At 49.9% G+C, this 20,018-nt stretch overlaps 2 protein-coding genes across 18 annotated transcripts in view; one reads left to right on the forward strand and one right to left on the reverse strand.

Moving 5' to 3' along the window:
- NDE1 (nudE neurodevelopment protein 1) overlaps positions 1 to 20,018 on the forward strand; it is an 82,972-nt gene that overhangs the window by 54,294 nt on the left and 8,660 nt on the right. For 6 of the 14 annotated variants that reach the window (XM_047434261.1, XM_047434259.1, XM_017023349.3 and 3 more), the window contains one exon: positions 2,054 to 4,239. The exons of 2 other annotated variants lie outside the window; for them this stretch is intronic. In XM_047434261.1, the coding sequence (XP_047290217.1) occupies positions 2,054 to 2,218 (165 nt within the window). In that variant the 3' untranslated portion in view covers positions 2,219 to 4,239. Of the gene's footprint in view, positions 1 to 1,921; positions 4,240 to 20,018 lie in introns of those variants that run through there. 6 more of the 14 variants (XM_047434264.1, XM_017023355.3, XM_047434266.1 and 3 more) reach the window with 3 other exon arrangements.
- MYH11 (myosin heavy chain 11) overlaps positions 5,460 to 20,018 on the reverse strand; it is a 153,894-nt gene continuing 139,335 nt past the window's right edge. For 2 of the 4 annotated variants that reach the window (NM_022844.3, NM_001040113.2), the window contains 5 exons: positions 19,465 to 19,673; positions 17,489 to 17,597; positions 17,234 to 17,406; positions 11,128 to 11,166; positions 5,460 to 6,448 (listed from right to left, as the gene is read on the reverse strand). In NM_022844.3, coding sequence (NP_074035.1) covers positions 11,136 to 11,166; positions 17,234 to 17,406; positions 17,489 to 17,597; positions 19,465 to 19,673 — 522 coding nt within the window. In that variant the 3' untranslated portion in view covers positions 5,460 to 6,448; positions 11,128 to 11,135. The remainder of the gene's footprint in view (positions 6,449 to 11,127; positions 11,167 to 17,233; positions 17,407 to 17,488; positions 17,598 to 19,464; positions 19,674 to 20,018) is intronic. The other 2 variants (NM_002474.3, NM_001040114.2) reach the window with 1 other exon arrangement.

Below are 20,018 nucleotides of genomic sequence, written 5' to 3' on the forward strand. Positions count from 1 at the left end.
GCACAGCAGCCTGGGTGACAGAGCAAGACTCCATATCAAAAAGTTAATTAATTAGTTAAATAAAAATAAAGCCCTTATTTGGGGAATTGAGCATCAGTCATGGCTCTGCTTCCCCTGAAGTTTTTTTTTTTGTTTTGTTTTGTTTTTTTTTTGAGACGTCTTGCTCTGTCGCCTAGGCTGGAGTGTAGTGGCATGATCTCAGCTCACTGCAACCTCTGCCTCCCAAGTCCAAGCAATTCTCCTGCCTCAGCCTCCTGAGTAGCTGGGATTACAGGCGTGTGCCACCATGCCCAGCTAATTTTTTGTATTTTTAGTCGAGACGGGGTTTCACTGTGTTAGGATGGTCTTGATCTCGTGACATTGTGATCCACCCACCTCGGCCTCTCAAAGTGCTGGGATTACAGGCGTGAGCCACTGCAACCAGCCCTTTTTTTTCTTTTTAAATCTGTAGAACCTTTGAGAAACTGGCACTAACTTCTAGCCCAGACTATGTTCCTGAAACCAGCCACCCGATGGGACAGTGCAGATCTGATCTCTAACAGTGTCATTAATTTTCTTGCCTAAAGAAAATCAGGGCCAGGCTCAGTGGCTCACACTTGTAATCCCAGCACTTTGGGAGGCTGAGGGCAGCGGATCAATTGAGCTCTGGAGGTTGAGGCCGCAGTGAGCCGTGTTCCCAGCCACTGCACTCCAGCCTGGGTGATGAAGCGAGACCTTGTCTCAGAAAAAAAAGGGGCAGCTTTCAGATTCAGGAATTCTGCAAGGTGTGTGACTACCATCTCTCTGGGCCCCAAGCCGTAGGAATTTGATGGGTTTGTAGCAGACACGTGACAGGAAATTAAGAATATTTTCCATGGCATGCACATAACTTTGAGACCTTTACACGTGGATTTTTAGGCCAGGTGCAGTGAAGTGGCTCACACCTGTAATCCCAGCACTTTGGGAGGCAGAAGTGGGTGGATCACTTGAGGCCAGGAGTTCACAAGACCAAACTGGGCAACATGGTGAAACCCTATCTATACTAAAAATACGAAAATTAGCCGGGCATGGTCGCGGATGCCTGTAGTCCCAGCTGCTTGGGTGGCTGAGGCACAAGAATCACTTGAACCCAGGAAGTGGAGGTTGCAGTGAGCCAAGATTGCACCACTGAACTCCACTCTGGGCAACAGAGTGAGACTCTTTCTCAAGAAAAAAAAAAAAATTAATTTTTGTTTGTTTTCTTTCTACGAGACAGGGTTTTGCTGTGTCACCCAGGCTGGAGTGCAGTGGTGCGACCATAGCTCACTGCAGCCTCGTCCTCCTGGGCTCAAGCCATCTTCCTGCCTCAGCCTCCCAAGTAGCTGGGGCTACAGGTGCACACCACCACCCCTGGCTAATTTTTTTTATATTTTATAGAAACAGTCTTGCTATGTTGCCCAGACTGGTCTCAAACCTCCTGGCTTTGAGTTTGAGAATACACCTCTGAGACTGTAGTCTGCTTCTCATTGAGATTTCTAGAGGTGAGTTTTCAGATTAATTTTCCAGGCGATCTTCCCACCTTGACCTCCCAAGTGCTGGGGGTTACAAGCGTTAGCAATCATGCCTGGCCTTTTTTTTTTTTTGGAGACAGGGTCTCACTCTGTCACCCAGGCTAGACTGCGGTGGTGTGATCTCGGCTCACTGCAACCTCCGCCTCCTGGGCTCCAGCGATCCTTCCACCTCAGCCTACCAAGTAGCTGGGACTACACATGCAGGCCACCACACCCAGCTAATTTTTGTTTGCATTTTTCATAGAGACAGGGTCTCACTATGTTGCGTAGGCTGTAAAACAAACAAACAATAGGTAAGAGATGGATTTTTCTAGTGGGTCTGAGACTGGGCGTTTTGTGTGACCTTGGAATCTGAGAGCCAGGTAGCCAGTGTCCTCTTCTTCATTTCACAGGAGAGAAAATTGAGACCCTGTGAGACCCTGCTCCTGACTCTTGATGTTCACCCTTATAACTCTCTGGGCCCCGGTGCTAGCCAGTTTGTCACAGCTGTTATGTCAGCTTAATTTGGTTTGCTCTGTCTGAAGGTTGGGGAAGCGCCTGGAATTTGGGAAGCCGCCTTCACACATGTCTTCATCGCCGCTGCCGTCAGCCCAGGGGGTAGTCAAGATGTTGCTTTAGGAAAACCACGGAAGCTGAAGGTCTTGGTGTTGGTGCGGAAGTCGTTACCTTTTGTCGTCTTTTTACACTAGGTTTTTGTTTTAAGTTAGTTTGAGAAATAAGAGCAGTCACCATAGTTAGTTAGCTTTGCGGCCCAAGCCAATGACCGAGGCCATCACCTGTGCTCTGGGGTTTGTCCCTGGGAAATGTCTTTTCATCCTTACCTGCCACCGTGTGCATTGCAAAGAGGGACAAAAGGGGCTCTCTGGGAAGGGCTCTAAGTTGTCGGTGATGAGGCTACCGTGTTGTTTTTGAGATAGAGTCTTGCTCTGTCACCCAGGCTGGAGTGTGGTGGCGTGATCTCAGCTCACTGCAACCTCCGCCTCCTGGGTTCAAACGGTTCTTGTTCCTGAGTCTTCCAGGTAGCTGGGATTACAGGCACCCACCACCACACCTGGCTGAATTTTTTGTATTTTTAATAGAGACGGGGTTTTGCCATGTTGCCCAGTGTGGTCTTGAACTCCTGGCCTCAAGTGATCCTCCCATCTCGGCCTCCCAGAATGCTGGGATTTCAAGCATGAGCCATCGTTCCCATGCCCCATTGTGTTGCACTAACCCAAGCGGAGGTCCTGATTGGTCTTTTTTTTTTTTTTCTTTTTTGAGACAGAGTCATGCTCTTGCCCTGTCTTGTCCAGGCTGGAGTGTAGTGGTGCAATTTCGGCTCACCGCAGCCTCCGCCTCCTAGGTTCAAGCGATTCTCTTATCTCAGCTTCCCAAGTAGCTGGGACTACAGGAGTGTGCCACTACACCCACTAATTTTGTATTTTTAGTGAGAAACGGGGTTTCACCATGTTGGCCATGCTGGTCTTGAACTCCCGGCCTCAAGTGATCCTCCCGCCTCAGCCTCCCAGAGTGCTGGAATTACAGGCCTGAGCCACCGTGCCTGGCCCCTGATTGGTCTTGACAGGTGTTTTTAATGTCCCAAGTCTCCGTAAATGTGGGATGGAGCTTCTCTCAGAGGCTCTTCCCCCCAACTCCCAACCAGGTGGAATCGTCTTCCAGAACAAAATCTCCCAGTGCTTTGTGGTGTACTGAAATCATGTCTAAGAACAGAGAACTTAACAGTCACATGCCTTTTTAAAAACTGGAATAGGCTGGGCGCGGTGGCTCAGGCCGGTAATCCTAAGACTTTGGAAGGCCGAGGCGGGTGGATTACCTGAGGTCAGGAGTTCAAGACCAGCCTGGCCAACATGGTGAAACCCCATCTCTACTAAAAATACAAAAAATTAGCTGGGTGCAGTGGTGCGTGCCTATAATTCCAGCTACTCCAGATGTTGAGGCAGGAGAGTTGCTTGGACCCGGGAGGTGGAGGGTGCAGTGAGCCAAGATTGCGCTACTGTACTCCAGCCTGGGCAACAGAGTGAGACTCCGTCTCCAAAAAAAAAAAAAAAGGTGTCATAAACCTCTGAGACTGTAGCCTGCTTCTTAGCTTCTCATTGAGATTCCTAGAGGTGCGTTCGAGTTTTCAGAGTAATTTTCCAGACCAACCAGCGTCAGTGGGAAATCTGACCTCTTTTGGCAAACTGCGATCATTCATTTTCCTGAGTCCCCTGGTGGGGTGGGGGGAATTCTGCCTCAGGACCCTGAGGGGTCTTTGGGGCAAGATGGCCTTGGTAATGCAGCCACTAAGAACAGGACTTCATTCAAAGGCATAATGAAGTAACCAGGGTGACCATCAAGTAAAATTAAAGCACAAGATCATTGTAGGAGGCTTCCTTGTCAAAGACGTGAACGTGGGATTTCCAACGCACCATGGTGTGTCCACTCATCACTGCATGTTAGGAACTGCTGTCTCTTTGGGACACGAGTTAAAAGAACACACTAATTTCTGGAGTGTGCCTGCAGCTTCACGGCCTTCATTTTGTTACTAAGTTATTTTCTGGAAGAACAGCAAAAATTTCAGGTTGAAAACAGAACTTTCCAAGTGCTACTGAAATTCCGCAGAGAATTACGCTGCGATGGTGGGTTTCTTACCCTAGAAACATCCTAACCTGTATCCACAGAAGATGTCCTTTTATTTTTTTAAAAGATCAATAAAATCAAGAGAAACGAATGTTGAACTTGTTGGGCTTCTGGTCAAAGAGGCTTTGTATGTTTATACTTTAATGTTTTCCCACAGAGTGGTGAAAAACTTTTTTTAACCAAGTTAAAAAATATGAAAAAATCTTTTTGAAAATTTCTATTCAAGCCAGGTTTTTAGAAATGTATCCGGGATGTGTTTGTGCGTCATTCAAGGCATATTAGCATCTGGTCACAAGATGGAGTCCTTTGTTTCCATGTTTCCTGTCTCCCAAATCTGTCTGATCCCATGGAGTTGGTGGTATACGGCATCGTTTGTGTTGAACAGAGCCTTTGCAGGCATGTCTGTCTAAAACACTCAAGCTGAAAGAAGGACAGGGCCTACAGCTTGTTTTTATGGCCCTTACTCTAAGAATGATTTATTATGTTTTTAAGGGTTGTTTTAAAGAAGATGAATATTCGGCAAGACCATATGTAGCCTGTAAAGGCTAAAATACTATCTGGCTGGGTGGGTGGTGGTGGTGGTGTGAGAGACAAGGTGTTACTGTTACCTAGGCTGCAGTGCAGTGGCGTGATCATAGCTCACTGCAGCCTGGAACTCCTGGCTCACATGATCCTCCTGCCTTAGCCTTCCAAGAGGTTGGGAGTACAGGTGTGCACTATCCTGCCTGGCTTACTAACAACAACAACAAAAAAACACCTTTTTTTTATAGAGACGGGGGTCTCTCTCGGCTAGGCTGGCCTCCAACTCCTGGCCTCAAGTGATTTTCCCATCTCAGCCTCCCAAAGTGCTGGGATTCCAGGTGTGAGCCACTGTACCCAGCCACCATCTGACGTTTTGTGGAAAGTGTTTGCTGACTCATTGGACAAGACCTTGTGTTTTAACTCAAAAAATCAAGGAAATCCTGTATTTTTCTTAAGATACTGGTTTTGATGAGTCAAGATGTTCTTCCCAGTCATGTTCGAGGGCAGGGGGCAGTGGCCCTTAGACCACACATCACCTTATTTCTCTCCCCTGCCCTCCCTGCTGAGCGGCCCAGTAACCCCCTTAGACAGTCTCACTTTGCATCTCTGCTCTGCTCTCTGGCTGGCTGTGGGGTTGTAGGCAATTGATTTCACCTCTCTAGGCCTCAGTTTCTGCATTCATGACGTTAACCCTGACTTCAGAGAATCTTTGGGACGATGAAGCAAAACCCAGCCTTCCCCAACTCCTTTTCCTCTATAGAAAACAGCTCAACAGAAAAGCCAACGACATTGTGATTTATAACCATTTATTAGTGAAAGTGTTTTTAAGCACAGTCAGGGTGTAAACAGTGCAGCATTCCTGCTCCCCTCCGTGGGAGCAGCGTCTCCTTTTCAATTCATGTGACTACAGAAGGCACTTGGTGAACTGTGCGTGTCTGAGGTGTGGAAACCAGGAGAGGGGGAAAGAATTCTCAAAGGCCTGACGTGAGAAGTTGGAAAGGTTTGCAGGTTAGGGAATGAATTGGGAGTGGGGGCCGGCGGCACCCATTTCGGTGACTTTCTCCCCATTTCATGTAAACAGAATTGCCAGGGACCGGTTACCGTGGATATGTTTTTCTAAAAACTCAGTGTCTGCACAATCCATTGATAGAACTGGAGGATGTGTCTGTGTTTCCTGTTGGGTTTTTCTCATCTCTTACATCATACAAACTTCAATTTTTACCTTGAATACAGGGGTAGTAGGGGTGGTGGTGGTGGTGGTGGTTGAGACAGGGTCTCTGTTGCCCAGGCTGGAGTGCAATGATGCAATTATAGCTCATTGCAGCCTCGAAGTCCTGGGCTGGAGCGTTCTTCCTGGCTCAGCCTCCCTAGTAGCTGGGACCACAGGTGTGTACCACCACGCCCAGCTTATTTTTAAATTCTTGTATAGATGAGGTTTTACTACGTTGCCCAGGCTGGAGGGTGGTGGTTTTTATATTCCTTGTGTGAGGGGTGTCTGTGATATTTGGAATTTGAGAATGGATTTAGACAATGCTAAGTACAGTCTGCTGGGTTTTGCTTTGTTCTGGGTTGTTGTTGGGTTTTTTTTGTTTGTTTGTTTTGGTTTTTGGTTTTCTTGCCGTGGTGCAAAACTGTAGAAAGTTGCTTATTCACTGGCCTTGGTTCCATTGAAGTCTGCGTCTCGAGTGTCCGTTTCCTCCTCAGAACCATCTGCATTTTCAATAACTCTACGTCCTCCAGACCTTCTAGAAGGAACGAAAGAGGTCTCGTTTCCTCGCCTGTGGGTTGTAAGAAAACACATTATTTAGCAAAGAAATCTTCATGGTTGGGATAGATTTTTTATAAATCTATTTTAAACTTGTAGCTATAGTCCTATTGCAATATAAATTTTTTTTATGGCAGAAAACACACACGGCACAAATAAGATGCAGATATTCAAGTTGAAGTCAACAAATCATTGCCAGTCTTAAGGCATGAGTGATTGAATTTAATCAGCTGAAATTGGTTGCGGGGGTGGGTGGAGAAGGTTTTTCAAAGCAAGACGATCTGCTTTTCAATATGTCAGGCTTGGTCATTTGAGAAGCCACAGGATTCTGGTCTGCTGTGGTCTTTGATTTAGAATAGGAAAAAAACGCCAAAAACCAAGCAGGGGATTTTGTCTTCTGACTTTATTCATAGCCCATGGGGCAGAGTTGAAGAGAGAACATACTGTTTTTCTTCTGTATCTCCTCACCCCCATTCGCCTTAGAGGTGAGTTTTCAAGATTTGAATTGGAAGAAGGTGAAATGGACAAGGGCAGCCTTGAGAAGGACACAGAGGGGCTCCCTGGTTAAAAGGCGAGACAGCACCCCCTGCTGGTGTGAATGTTCATGGACTGAGTTTTCCCCACTGCAGGGACTGCTGCATCTGTTTTGCTGATCGTGGAACATACCGCACATGGCGTAAAACAGGTGCCCAGTGAATATTAGAAAAGGAAATTATACGTGTTAATCCAAGGTGGATTATTTTATTAAATTGAGATGAGGTCTTGATATTGTTGCCCAGGCTGGTCTGGAACTCCTGAGCTCAAGCAGTTCTCCTACCTTGGCCTCCCAAAGCGCTGGCATTACAGGCGTGGGCCACCACACCTGGCCTTCAAGGTGGATTTAAAAAAGAAATTTAAGAGTCTCTCTCACCCAGGCTGGAGTGCAGTGGCATGATCTTGGCTCACTGCAACCTCTGCCTCCTGAGTTCCAGCAGTCCTTGAGCCTCAGTATTGAGTAGCTGGGACTACATGCACGTGCACACTGCCACGCCTGGCTAATTTTTGTATTTTTAGCAGAGATGGGATTTTGCCATGTGACCCAGGCTGGTCTTGAACTCCTGGCCTCAAACGATCCACCTGTCTTAGCCTCTCAAAGTGTTGGGATTACAGGTGTGTGCCAGTGCACCTGGCCTCTGAGGTGGATTTTAGCTCCAGCCAGTAGGACACCCCTGTCTCTCCTTAATGCTGCCATCTCCTCTCTGCGCTGGTTCTCTCTTGAGTTTATCACCTCGACTTCACAGGAAGGGCTGGTCACGTGAGGGGAGACTTTGGGTAGGAGGAAGAGAGTGGGCAGAAGAAGGAAAAATCAGATCTGCCTGCTGCCAGCCTTCACCGTTCAGAAGAAACACTTAACTCTTTTCAGCAACCGCAACAAATAATTATGTTGGGCTCTGGCCATCTGGCCCTGTTTGACCTGAATCGGAAGACAGGTCTTATTTTAGGACATCAAAGAAGAGAGCAGACTTTTGCTCCCCACGCAAGGGTTGGATAAGAAGCCATAAGGATGAACACAACTCAGTGACCAATTCTTTAGTCAAAAGGAACAACTCGGCTGGGCATGGTGGCTCACACCTGTAATCTCAGCACTTTGGGAGGCTGAGGCGGGCGGATCATGAGGTCAGGAGATCGAGACCATCCTGGCTAACATGGTGAAACCGTGTCTCTACTAAAAATACAAAAAATTAGCCGGGCGTGCTGGCGGGTGCCTGTAGTCCCAGCTACTCGGGAGGGAGGCTGAGGCAGGAGAATGACATGAACCCAGGAGGCGGAGCTTGCAGTGAGCCGAGATGTGGCCACTGCACTCCAGCCTAGGCGACAGGGTGAGACTCCGTCTCAAAAAAAAAAAAAAAAAAAAATCAAGGCCCAGAGATTCATGATCACTGAGAAGAGGAATTCGCAAATGACCCTTTTGTTGACAGAGGATGGGAGAGACCCCGGCTGGGAAAGCCCACCTGGCTATAAAGGATGGGACTTCCCGCAGTGCAGCGATCAGGAATAAATACTTAAAGCTGCAGCCACTTCAAAGTAAACACTCCTAGCCCAGCTTCACAGAGAAGCTTCTGGACTTGCAGCCCTACTAGAGAACTCTCCATCCTTCTCTCTCTAGATGTGACCCTTAAGTCTTTTTCTTTTTTAGCACTGTTTTCCAAGCGCTTGACTCAGAAGGATGCTCAAATTCAGCGCAGAGGAGCAGCAGTTTGACTGTTCCCTGTACGCTCCCCACACAGCTCTCTTCGTCACAGTTTTAACTCCAGGTTCAAACCCTGATGGGTTGGCCAGTTGCTGCGACTCATGCCTGTAATCCCAGCACTTGGGGAGGCCGAGGTGGGCAGATCACTCGTGAGGTCAGTTGTTCGAGGCCATCCTGGCCAATATGGTGAAACCCCGTCTCTACTAAATATACTAAATTAGCCGTGCGTGGTGGCAGGCGCCTGGAATCCCAGTCACTCAGGAGGCTGAGGCAGGAGAATTGCTTGAACCCAGGAGGTGAAGGCTGCAGTGAGCCAACGTTGTGCCACTGCACTCCAGCCTGGGAAACAGCAAGACTGTCTCCAAAAAAAAAAACAAAAAAAAATCTGATGAGCTGGGAAGTAGTCCCTAACCTCCACATCAGTGCTCTAGGCACTCTCTTTTTGGCTCTTGGAAGAGTCTATTTGCTAACTGGAAAAGCTTAATGGATAAATTTGCTCCCTTGACCTAAGAAATACATTGTGCCCTGGGCCGTTGAAGCTCCTTGCTTGGCTGTCAGCCTGCAAGATACTCTGTTTTGGCTGAAGTGCTTTTCTTGGAACTGGTTTCAAATCCTAGACCAAGGTTGACACCAACTATACCTGTTACAGGAACTAAGGGACCCCCCTAAAGGTTTTCTTAAAGGGTCTGATCCTGGAGAATCTGGAATTTTTTTTTGAAATAGAGTCTCGCTGTGTTGCCCAGGCTGGAGTGCAGTGGCGTGATCTTGGCTCACTGCAGCCTCTGCCTCCCAGGTTCAAGCGATTCTCCTGCCTCAGCCTTCCAAGTAACTGGGACTACAGACATGCCACCACTCCTGGCTAATTTTTGTATTTTTAGGAGAGACGGGGTTTTACCATGTTGGCCAGGCTGGTCCTGACCTCAAGTTATCTGCCCGCCTCGGCCTCCCAAAGTGCTGGGATTATAGGCATGACCCACTGTGCCTGGCCTAGCATTTGGATTCTATTCGTGGACTCAGCTTATCCAAGGCCTCGGGAATCATCTTGAGTGTAAGCACCTGCTAGTTTGCAAGGACTCAGTTTCCCACTGACCAGTGGGTTCTGCACTTCAGCCCACCCTGGAATTTGGCTTATCCTATGATCCCAATCAGCTGGTAGGAGAGCTGCTTGAAGTGTCCTAGAAACTCATCTGCTCCCCCACAAAACTGGCTCTTAACAAGACCTCACCCTGCGCTTTAAGTATTTTGGTAGTGACAGCAAAGCTGAGATTCTCCAAAAATGAAGATGGACACAAATGAGGGTTGGTTTGGCCTCTCCATGAGGTGAAGTCAGATCCACATGGCCTAACTTCACCTGTGAAAAGTTGGTCATGCTTGTAATCCCAGCATTTGGGGAGGCCAAGGCGCGCGGATCACCTGAAGTCAGGAGTTTGAGACCAGCCTGGCCAACATGGTGATATCCTGTCTCTAATAAAAATACAAAAATTAGCTGGGCGAGGTGGCGGGAGCCTGTAATCCCAGCTACTCAGAAGGCTGAGGTAGGAGAATCGCTTGAACCCAGGAGGCAAAGGTTGCGGTGAGCCAAGATTGCGCCATTGCACTCCAGAGCGAGACTCCGTCTCAAAAAAAAAAAAAAAAAAAAGCAAAATCCCAGAGCAGCAGAGACCTCTTCATGCTTTCTTGGGAAGGGCCCTGTGTGCATCCTTGAGTCTTGGGTATCCACTCCCCAGTCCCTGAACATGTACATGCCCGTGAAGCCTCCAGAAAAGGCTCTGCCAGGACTGTGCTTGGCTTTGCGGTGGTCAGCTTCCACCCCGTGTGCTGAAAATGCAGTTTGTAGCTAGACATCACTCAAGCCACGTGCAGCCCCCGGCATTTGTCAGACATCGCAGTGAGCTCATTTCCTTCGCAGACAAGCCTGTGAAAGCTGAATCATGGGAGGACTGGTTGCCGCGCCGCAGTTACCGTGAACTTTGTGATCTCTGACTTGTGACCCAGACCAGCCAACTAGAAGCCAAGTACGTTCTCCAGGAATGTGCCCAGATAGTGGAACTGTCATATTCATTCAGTGCAGTGTCTTCACTGGACAAGGGAGGACAGCACTGCTGAGTGCCCTAACCACGTAAGAGTGGCTTTTGGCATGAAAGGAAGAAAAATCCAAGCTACACACACAGCCTCTGCCATCTCGTCAAGATGCAGTGATAAGGGCGCACACTGTTGGGTGTCATGTCACATGTGCTGCCCAGAGGCAGGAAGGACAGTGGGTCAAGAGATGAGGTCTATTTGTCATCCTGATCTTGGTTTCAATGAAAGCTTTGCACAAAGATATCCAAGCCTCCAGATTTTGCAAGAATCTCGTGGAAATGTGCAAGGGTTTAAAAATTGGGGTGGGCAGAGGGGCGCATTGGGCAGAAAAGAAATGGATACTGAGACAACACACAGCTGCGAAGCTGAAGGCATGATACCTGGTGCATCACTGCGAAGTTTCCTGTGGGGGGGGCCCTCTGAAACAGAGAGAGAATCCCCGGAGGTTACCATCAGCAAACAAGAAGGAGCCCGGTTAAGTATATTCTTAATTGTTAAAGACATTTGCTTCGATTTAATAATTAAAGGCACTCTTTTTTATTTTGAGATAGTCTCTGTCACCCAGGCTGGAGTGCAGGGGTGCGATCTTGGCTCACTGCAACCTCTACGTCCTGGATTCAAGTGATCCCCTTGTCTCAGCCTCCCGAGTAGCTGGGATTACAGGCAGGCCCCACGTGCTTGGCTAATTTTTGTATTTTTAGTACAGATGGGGTTGCACTATGTTGGTCAGGCTTGTCTCCAACTCCTGATGTCAATGATCTTCCTGCCTTGGCCTCCCAAGGTGCTGGGATTTGGGATTACAGGCATGAACCACCGCACCTGGCATTAAAAGCACCCTTAAGTCAACGTTGCAGTGAATCACCTGACGCCAAGAGCATTTGGTGAGGCTGGTAGATGAAAGGATAAGCAGTTTTTTGATACTCTGTCACCCAGGATGGAGTGCACTGGCATGATCTATCTCTGCTCACTGCAACCTCCACCTCCCGGGTTCAAGCGATTCTCCTGCCTCAGCCTCCCGAGTAGCTGGGATTACAGGCATGCACCACCGTGGCTGGCTAATTTTCATATTTTTAGTAGAGACGGAGTTTCACCATGTTGGCCATGCTGGTCTCGAACTCCTGACCTCAAGTGATCCACCCACCTCGGCCTCCCAAAGAGCTGGGATTACAGGTGTGAGCCACTGCACCCGGCTCAGTTTTTTAAATGGAAAGGAAAATGTCTGTCCTTTAGAGCTACTTTTAAGAACCTCCTATAAATCCCATGATTGCATACTGGTTCAGGGAAGTAAAAGCATTTGAGCAAGCTAGTTTGAGAAATCAGTGTTGGAACAGAAGCCAAGAAGTCCCAGGCAAGGAACCTGCAGCCGCCTGTCCCTTGGTTTATGATTACTTGCTCTTCATTAGCTTTCGGGCCTCTAGCAAGAGAGGAGAGGTGGAGGCCTTGTACAGCTCTTGCCGGAGGTAACTGGCAGTGTAGCCAGTGGTAGGTAAGTGGGTCTGGCTTTAGAGAGGGCTTGTGTCGAGATGCGTCTGGCTGATAGAACTTGGTGAAACTCGCACTACAGTTCCTTCTTGGCTGAGGAGCCAGGCATGCTTACCAACCTCCCTCAGGGCTCTAGTGCCTGATTTTATGTTTTTGTGCACCCAAAAGATGCAGAAGGCAGGACAGACCTTCCACCTGCATTATGTGTGTATTCGTGTCGGAACTGGCAAAAATGGTCTTTTTGTTCCACTTTGCCCTTGGCTGCCCAAGAAGGCTCAAGTGTCTGGGGCAGAACCCACAGGAGGTGTCCAGTGTGTGCTAAAGAATCACTGGGCCGGCCGGGCATGGTGGCTCACGCCTGTAACCCCAGCACTTTGGGAGACCGAGGCAGGTGGATCACGAGGTCAGGAGATCGAGACCATCCCAGCCAGTATGGTGAAACCTTGCCACTACTAAAAATACAAAAATTAGCCAGGTGTGGTGGCACGCACCTGTAATCTCAGCTACTTGGGAGGCTGAGGCAGGAGAATCGCTTGAACCTGGGAGGCAAAGGTTGCAGTGAGCCGAGATCGCGCCACTGCACTCCAGCCTGGCAACAGAGCTAGACTCCGTCTAAAAATAAATAATAAAAAGAAAAGAAATCACTGGGCCTGAGAAAGGGAAGCAGAGACAGCAGTGGGGTAGGGAGTCAGAGTGGCTGTATCCCCATCGCTCAGCCCAGCCACTCAGGAGAGGCAGGGGGACTGGTTGCCAGCAGAGCACATCTGAGGGTTTTTGTTTTTTGTTTTTTTTTTGGAGACAGAGTCTTGCTCTGAAGGCTGGAGTATAGAGGCTTGATCTTGGCTCACTGCAGGCTCCTCCTCCTGGGTTGCAAAGGAGTGTCCTGTCTCAGCCTCACGAGTAGCTGGGATTACAGGCATCTGCCACCACGCCTAGCTGATTTTTGTGTTTTTAGTAGAGATGAAGTTTCACCATGTTGGCCAGGCTGGTCTCGAACTCCTGACCTCAGGTGATCAGCCCACCTCAGCCTCCCAAAGTGCTGGGATTACAGGCGTGAGCCACCGCGCTTTGCCCCAGGAGTCTTCACAGTGAGAACAGCTCTCCTCCACTGACCCCTCAACCCTGGGAGATGCTTCCAGGCCCCTGCTGTACTTTGGGAGCCTAGGCCTGGTTTCTCTCCTATCCATGGGGGACCAACAAGCGCTCACCATGCAGCGAGTGGGGCTTTTCCCTGAAGGCTTGGTGCCCTGCGCCAGCTGCTCTCTTCCCCTTCTCAGAGGGGTTTGGACTTTTCCCTGTCTCACGCAGTGGTCCCCAAACTCTAGAGGTGATTTCAGATGGCTTCCGGGCATGCCATCCGCTAACTGAACTGGGCCCTGAGAAAGTCATTTCCTTTCCAACTCTTTTTAAACAAGTCTAATTATGATGTCAGAGAGAGTCTATTTGGTGCTAATGGCTGTTGTCACTCCCTTTTTAGTGGAGAAGTAGGCTTCAGGTCTTGGTGATCAAGTTGTGGCCACAATAGCTAGATATTGAACTTGATACTATTTTTATCATATTACTTTCATCGTAACCAGTTGATAGAGGTGATGCTGGTTTAAAAATATAGAGGAGGTATGTTTATTTGCCGTTATATTCATGTATGATTAAAACTGTTAAAAGATCAAGTCATTGGTATTAAAGGTAGTAAGAGGCTCAGCACATGGCTGTGGTGGTATGAGAATGAAGCGGGGAAAATATCTAGGACCCGAGGGATAAAGGTTCACTCTGCCTGGTGCTGTCCTAGACACTGGAGATTTTTTTTTTGAGACCGAGTTTTGGTCTGTCACCCAGGCTGAAGTGCAGTGGTGCGATCTCAGCTCACTGTAACCTGTGTCTCCCAGGTTCAAGCGATTCTCCTGCCTCAGCCTCCCTAGTAGCTGGGATTACAGGCACGCCCCACCATACCCGGCTAATTTTTGTGTTTTTAGTAGAGACGGGGTTTCACCATGTTGGTCAGGCTGGCCTTGAACTCCTGACCTCAGGTGATCAGCCTGCGTTGGCCTCCCAAAGTGCTGGGATTAAGGGGTGAGCCACTGCACCCAGCCTGGGCAGGATTCTTTAGGGAAAGTTGACCAGATTCTCCCATAGATGGGATGTGGGGTATAAAGGAGACCAAAACGTTAAGAAGGACCACGAGGTTTGTGATGTGAATTGTTGGCAACTTCATCATTTTAGCTGCTGAGCTGGAGAGAGGAGCCAGTTTGGGGGTGAAGAGTTTCAGTCAGGACTTGGGGTGCAGCATGTTTGGTGTGAGCTGCCTATTAGACATCCATGTGGGAACGGGAGGGTGGTCTGAGGTTCTAGGAAGAAGCTAGGGCTTCTCAGAGATGAACTGAGGAGTCATTAGATATACATGGAATTCTAAAGCGCCAAGATTAGTTGAGACCTCTCACCTAGCGCTGGGGAGAGATGAAAACAACTAAGGCCGTGCAGTGGTCCATGCCTGTAATCCCAGCACGTGGGGAGGCTGAGGCGGGTGGATCACAAGATCAGGAGTTCAAGACCAGCCTGGGCAACATGGTGCAACCCCATCTCTACTAAAAATATAAAAATAGGCCAAAAATAGCTTGAACTGGGAGGCAGAGGTTGCAGTGAGCTGAGATAGTGCTACTGCACTCCAGCCTGGGCAACAGAGCAAGACTCTGCCCAAAAGAGAACTAAGTTGATACCCTGGGGCGGTCTAGTGGCAAGCAGGTTTCGAGGTGAGGGATCAGCAGAGGAGAGGAAGAGGGACAACCCCACAGGTCGGGGGACAAGCAGGTGTGGATGGTGTCGGGGAAGTCCAGGGAAGCAAGTGAATTAGGCCAGAGGCATGATGGACTGCGTCACGTGCTGCTGCCCTGTCAGGGGACCTCTGGCCATTAGTGTCACCCATGGGAGGCTTCTGGGAGAGTGATGGGTGGGGGCGAGGGGAACCAGCAACTCTTCACATACAGTTTTTTTTTTTTTGAGACCGAGTCTCACTCTGTCACCCAGGCTGGACTGCAACCTCTCTCTCCCGGTTTTAAGCCATTCTTGTGCCTCAGCCTCCTGAGTAGCTGGAACTATAGGCATGCACCACCACACCTGGCTAATTTTTATATTTTTTGGTAGAGACAGGGTTTCGGCATTCACATCCAGTTTTGTAGTAAGGGTAGCAAGGTAGACATGGGGCTAAGAGGTTATTCCATTTGCTGATGGAGCAAATGAAAGAGAAAACCTTGCAAAATAAGGATTTTTGGAGCTATGTGCTTGAGTGAACAAGAGGGTCGGGTCCAATGGAGGTGTTGGCCTCGGTTGGTGCCAGAGGGTTCAGCATAGAAATGGAAAAAAAATAGAAGTGTACAGAGGTGCACGGAGGTAGGATGATGAGGCAGTGGGAGCTTGTGCACGTTTCATGATCATTTCTGCTTTTGAGTTAAGTAGGAAGTAAGGTCCCCAGCTGAGAGAGAATGGGGAGGAGCGATCATAAGTTCAAAGAAAAAGTGAAAAGCAGCAGAGAGTGAGAAGATGAGGGAGGGGTGTGGGAGGACCCCTGAGCAAGGCCTGCTCTGTGGGAAAAGGTGGAGAGTGGGTTTTGGGTTTTTTGAGACAGGGTCTCACTCTGTCCATCCAGGGTAAGTGCATTGGCTAGATCATGGCTCACTGCAGCCTTGACCTCTGGGGCTCCACTGATCGTCCCACCTCAGCCTCCTGAGTAGCTGGGATTTTAGGTTTGCGCCATCCCACCTGGCTGATTTTTGTTTGTTTGTTGTAGAGATGGGGTCTTGCTGCTCTTGAACTCCTGAGCTCAAAGCGATTCACCTGCCTTGGCCTCCCAAAGTGCTGGGATTATAGGTGTGAGTCCCGTGCCCAGCCAAGCTTGAGTTTCATTTGGGTTGTGCTTTCACCAAATGATTGCAGCAATGCAAGAGGGGGAACCGGATGTTGAGGATGCGCGACGGGGGTTACTAGACAGCTGGTTTGGAGCTGGGTCAGAGGCTGATGGCATTAATGGAGTGAAGACCCCGTTGGGGACAGAGCCAAAGAAAGGTGGCACCAGGCAGACAATGGGATGCCTGAGGGTCAAATTGTGAGGGCTCCTAGGAGTACTGGTTGGCCCGGTAGAAGCAGCAGGATCACCCAGAGGGTCAAGGAACCGAGAGGCTGCGTCGCCCACCTGGATGTTGAAATCATGGAGAACTGTGAGGAGTGGTGTGGGAGACAGGAAGCCCGGAGCTAAAACCTCCTGGGAGCCAATCGGGATGGATGGACAGGGTGGTGGAAGCAGCCCTTGGGAGCAGGGGGGACCCCCAAGGTACCAGAGGCATGGGAGAGAAAACAGCCCCCACTCCAGTGACAGCAGGAATTCTCAGCGGGGTGGCAGTCGTACCCTCCCATCTCTAGAGGACTTCTGGCAACATCTAGAGACATTTTTGGTTGTCACATTGCAGGGTGGTGGGGGACTACTGCAGCCGGTGGGTAGAGGCCAGAAATGTAAGCACCTGCTACTTTTCAGGGATCTTTTTCCTTCTGATGGGGAATGTCGGACAGCCCCCATACCCGAGAATAATGCAGCCCAGATGGCAGCAGTGCTGAGGGGGAGAAAGGAGGAGCAGAGCATGTCAGGAAGGAGGTGAAGTGGCGGGGGGTGGTGTTGCAGCTTCAATGGATGTCGTGAAGACTCAGTGATGCAATGAAGGAGGGGCTGGAGGAGACAGTGGGGATAGCCTCTTCCTCCTCCTCAGCCGGAGGACCGGATGGGAGACGGTCGATCGTTAAAGGATCTAGAAGGTTAGCTGCTACCAGGCAAGGCAGGGCCCGGGTCTGATCTCAGTGCCTGGCCCACACTAAGCTTAGTGATTAAGGAGAAGCAGGAATAAACCACAGAAGGGAGTGGCGGCTGTGGGCACAAGGGGCATTTGCAGGCCGAAAGGAGCCCGAGCCCCCAGTGCTTTTCTCTGGCCTGAGAGACGGGGTCCTCCCGGGCCACGGGCTCCTCACCTGAGCTTGCTCTTGAGTGCGTTCACCTCGCGGCCCATGGCCTCGTTGCTCTCCGTGGCCTCATCCAGCTCCCGCTGCAGCTTCCTGCGGTTGGCGTTGATGCGCTGGGACTCCTCCTCTGCCTCCTCCAGCTGCCTCTTGAGCTGCTTGACCCTGGCATTGCCTTTCTCTGCCTGTCGCGGAGAGTTGGAGGGGTGGTTAGGGGAGGCCGGCTGGGGGCTGGGGGCTCGAGGGAGGCTGGGTGGCAGGGGCTACCTGCTCCTTGTACTGCTCGGCCATCTTGCGCTCGTCCTCCACCTGCAGCAAGATTTCCTTCAGCTTCTTGTCTTTCTGCTTCAGCGACTTGGTGGCCGCCTGTTTCTCTCTGCAAACAGCAAGGAAAACAGGTGGTTTCAGCGGAGGGTGGCACCCCTTGTAGCTGGTGTGTCACCTGGAGGTGGCATCTTGAGTGCTTTCCTGAGCCCCGTATCTGGACTCCTCTCAAGAATCAGTCAGATGGTGGAATAGTATTCAGCCATGAAAAGGAATAAAGTATCAATGCATGCCACAGCATGGATGAGCCTGGAATTCTTGCCAAGTGAAAGAAGACACATAGCAGACAACATAGTGTGTGATTCCGTTGATATCAAGTGTCCAGAATAGATAAATTCATAGAGACAGAAAGTAGATTATGGTTGCCAGGGACTGAAGGGAGTGGTTACAGGGCATGGGGTTTCTATTTTTTTTGCGGGGAGGAGGCAAGGTCTTGCTGTGTGACCCAGGTTGGAGTGCAGTGGTGCTCCAATGCCTGCTCTTCACCCTAGTTCATAGTTCACTGCAGCCTTGAACTCCTGGCTCAAGCAATCCTCCCACCTCAGCCTCCCAAGTAGCTGGGACTACAGGCGTACACCAGCATGCTCAGACTTTTAAAAGTTTTTCATAGAAACGGAGTCTCTGGCCAGGCGTGGTGGCTCATGCCTGTAATCCCAGTACTCTGGGAGGCCGAGGTGGGCAGATCACCTGTGGTCAGGAGTTCGAGACCAGCCTGGCCAACATGGTGAAACCCCATCCCTACTAAAAAATACAATTACAAGCTGGGTACAGTGGTGTGCACCTGTAGTCCCAGCTACTTGGGAGGGTGAGGCGGAGGTTGCAGTGAGCTGAGATCGCACCACTGCACACCAGCCTGGGAAACAGAGTGAGACTATGTCTCAAAAAAATAAAAATAAAAAAGTCTTGCTATGCTGCCCAGACTGGTCTCGAACTCCTGGACTCAAGTGCTGCTCCCACCTACCTCAGCCTCCCAAAGTGCCGGGATTATGGGCATGAAATACCACATATGGCCTGGGGTTTCTGTTTGAGCCGATGAAAATGTTCTCAAAATGACTGTGGTGATCGTTTTTACATGTTTGTGAATATATGAATAGCCCTTGAATTATACACTTTAAATGGGTGCATTGCAGGGCGTGCGAATTACTGAAAAAGCTACTAGAAGAGAATGGGTGAGAATCCTTAGAATCCAATGGTAAGAAATGTGCTGTGATCATATGCCTCATTCGACCCATAATTAAGAAGGCTTCCAGTGTGTGTACCAAATGGGCTGCCGGTTGGACTTTTGTTTTTTGGGGTTTTTTTTGTGTGTGTGTATGTGTGTGGAAGGGTCCCACTGTGTCACCCAGGCTGCAGTGCAGTGGCACAATCTCGGCTCACTGCAACCTCCACGTGTCACGTTGGAGTGATTCTCCTGCCTCAGTCTCCTGAGTAGCTGAGATAATAGGCATGTGCCACCACACTCGGCTAATTTTTGGTACAGACAGGGTTTCACCATGTTGGCCAGGCCGGTCTCAAACTCCTGACCTCAAGTGATCCACCTGCCTCAGCCTCCCAAATTGCTGGGATTACAGGCGTGAGCCACCACGTCCAGCCTGGTTGGATTTTTGATCTGTCAGCATGCTATCCCTGCAGAGGCTGGGAAAAGTCATATGTACTGCTGGGAAGGCAGGTTAATGTCAGGAGGACCATGGAGATGCTAAGAGCAGCTCACACTTTAGGTGCTTGCCCTAGGCCAGGAACCAGCAGGGCACTTTGCTGTGTTTACGTTCAGTTCTCACAACATACCTGCACTGTAGGCATCACAGAGCTTGCTTCTTACAAGCCAGAACTGATGCTGGAAGAGGTTCCCTGACTTCACTATGACTCCTGCTGTCCATCACCCCCCTGCAAACTGGGTTCGGAACTCCACACCCGCATACCTGGCCTCCTGCTCGACCTGCTCCTCCAGCTGTGCAATCTTGGCCTCCAGCGCCGCGATGGTGGACTTGAACTTGGACTTGACGGCCCCCTCCATCTCGTGGAGCTTGCTCCGGAGCTCCTTGTTCTGCCGCTCGAGCTGCTGCCGGGCACTCTCATTCTTCTGGGCCGTGCTGCGCTCTGTGGCCAGCTCGTTGCTGAGCTGCTCGGCCTGGGGAGGAGAGTGAAGGCCATGAGGCGGACTCAGGGAAGCCCAAGAGAGCGCACTGAGACCATGCCTCTTCCTGCCTTGTTTGGCCTCTGCACGAGTCCCTTGATCCCGGGCACCCTGTCCTCTCCTTCATCCTGTAAAACTCCACTCAAGAGCTTCTTCCAGGCCGGGCGTGGTGGCGCACGCCTGTAATCCCAGCACTTTTGGAAGCAGAGGCAGGTAAATCACTTGAGCTCAGGAGTTCGAGACCTGCCTGGCCAACATGGTGAAACCCCGTCTCTATTAAAAATACAAAAATTAGCCGGGCAGTGGTGGCACGTGCCTGTAGTCCCAGCTACTTGGGAG

The sequence above is a fragment of the Homo sapiens genome, chromosome 16 (genome assembly GCF_000001405.40).
Source record: "Homo sapiens chromosome 16, GRCh38.p14 Primary Assembly".
In the NCBI taxonomy this organism is placed as follows: Eukaryota; Metazoa; Chordata; class Mammalia; order Primates; family Hominidae; genus Homo; species Homo sapiens.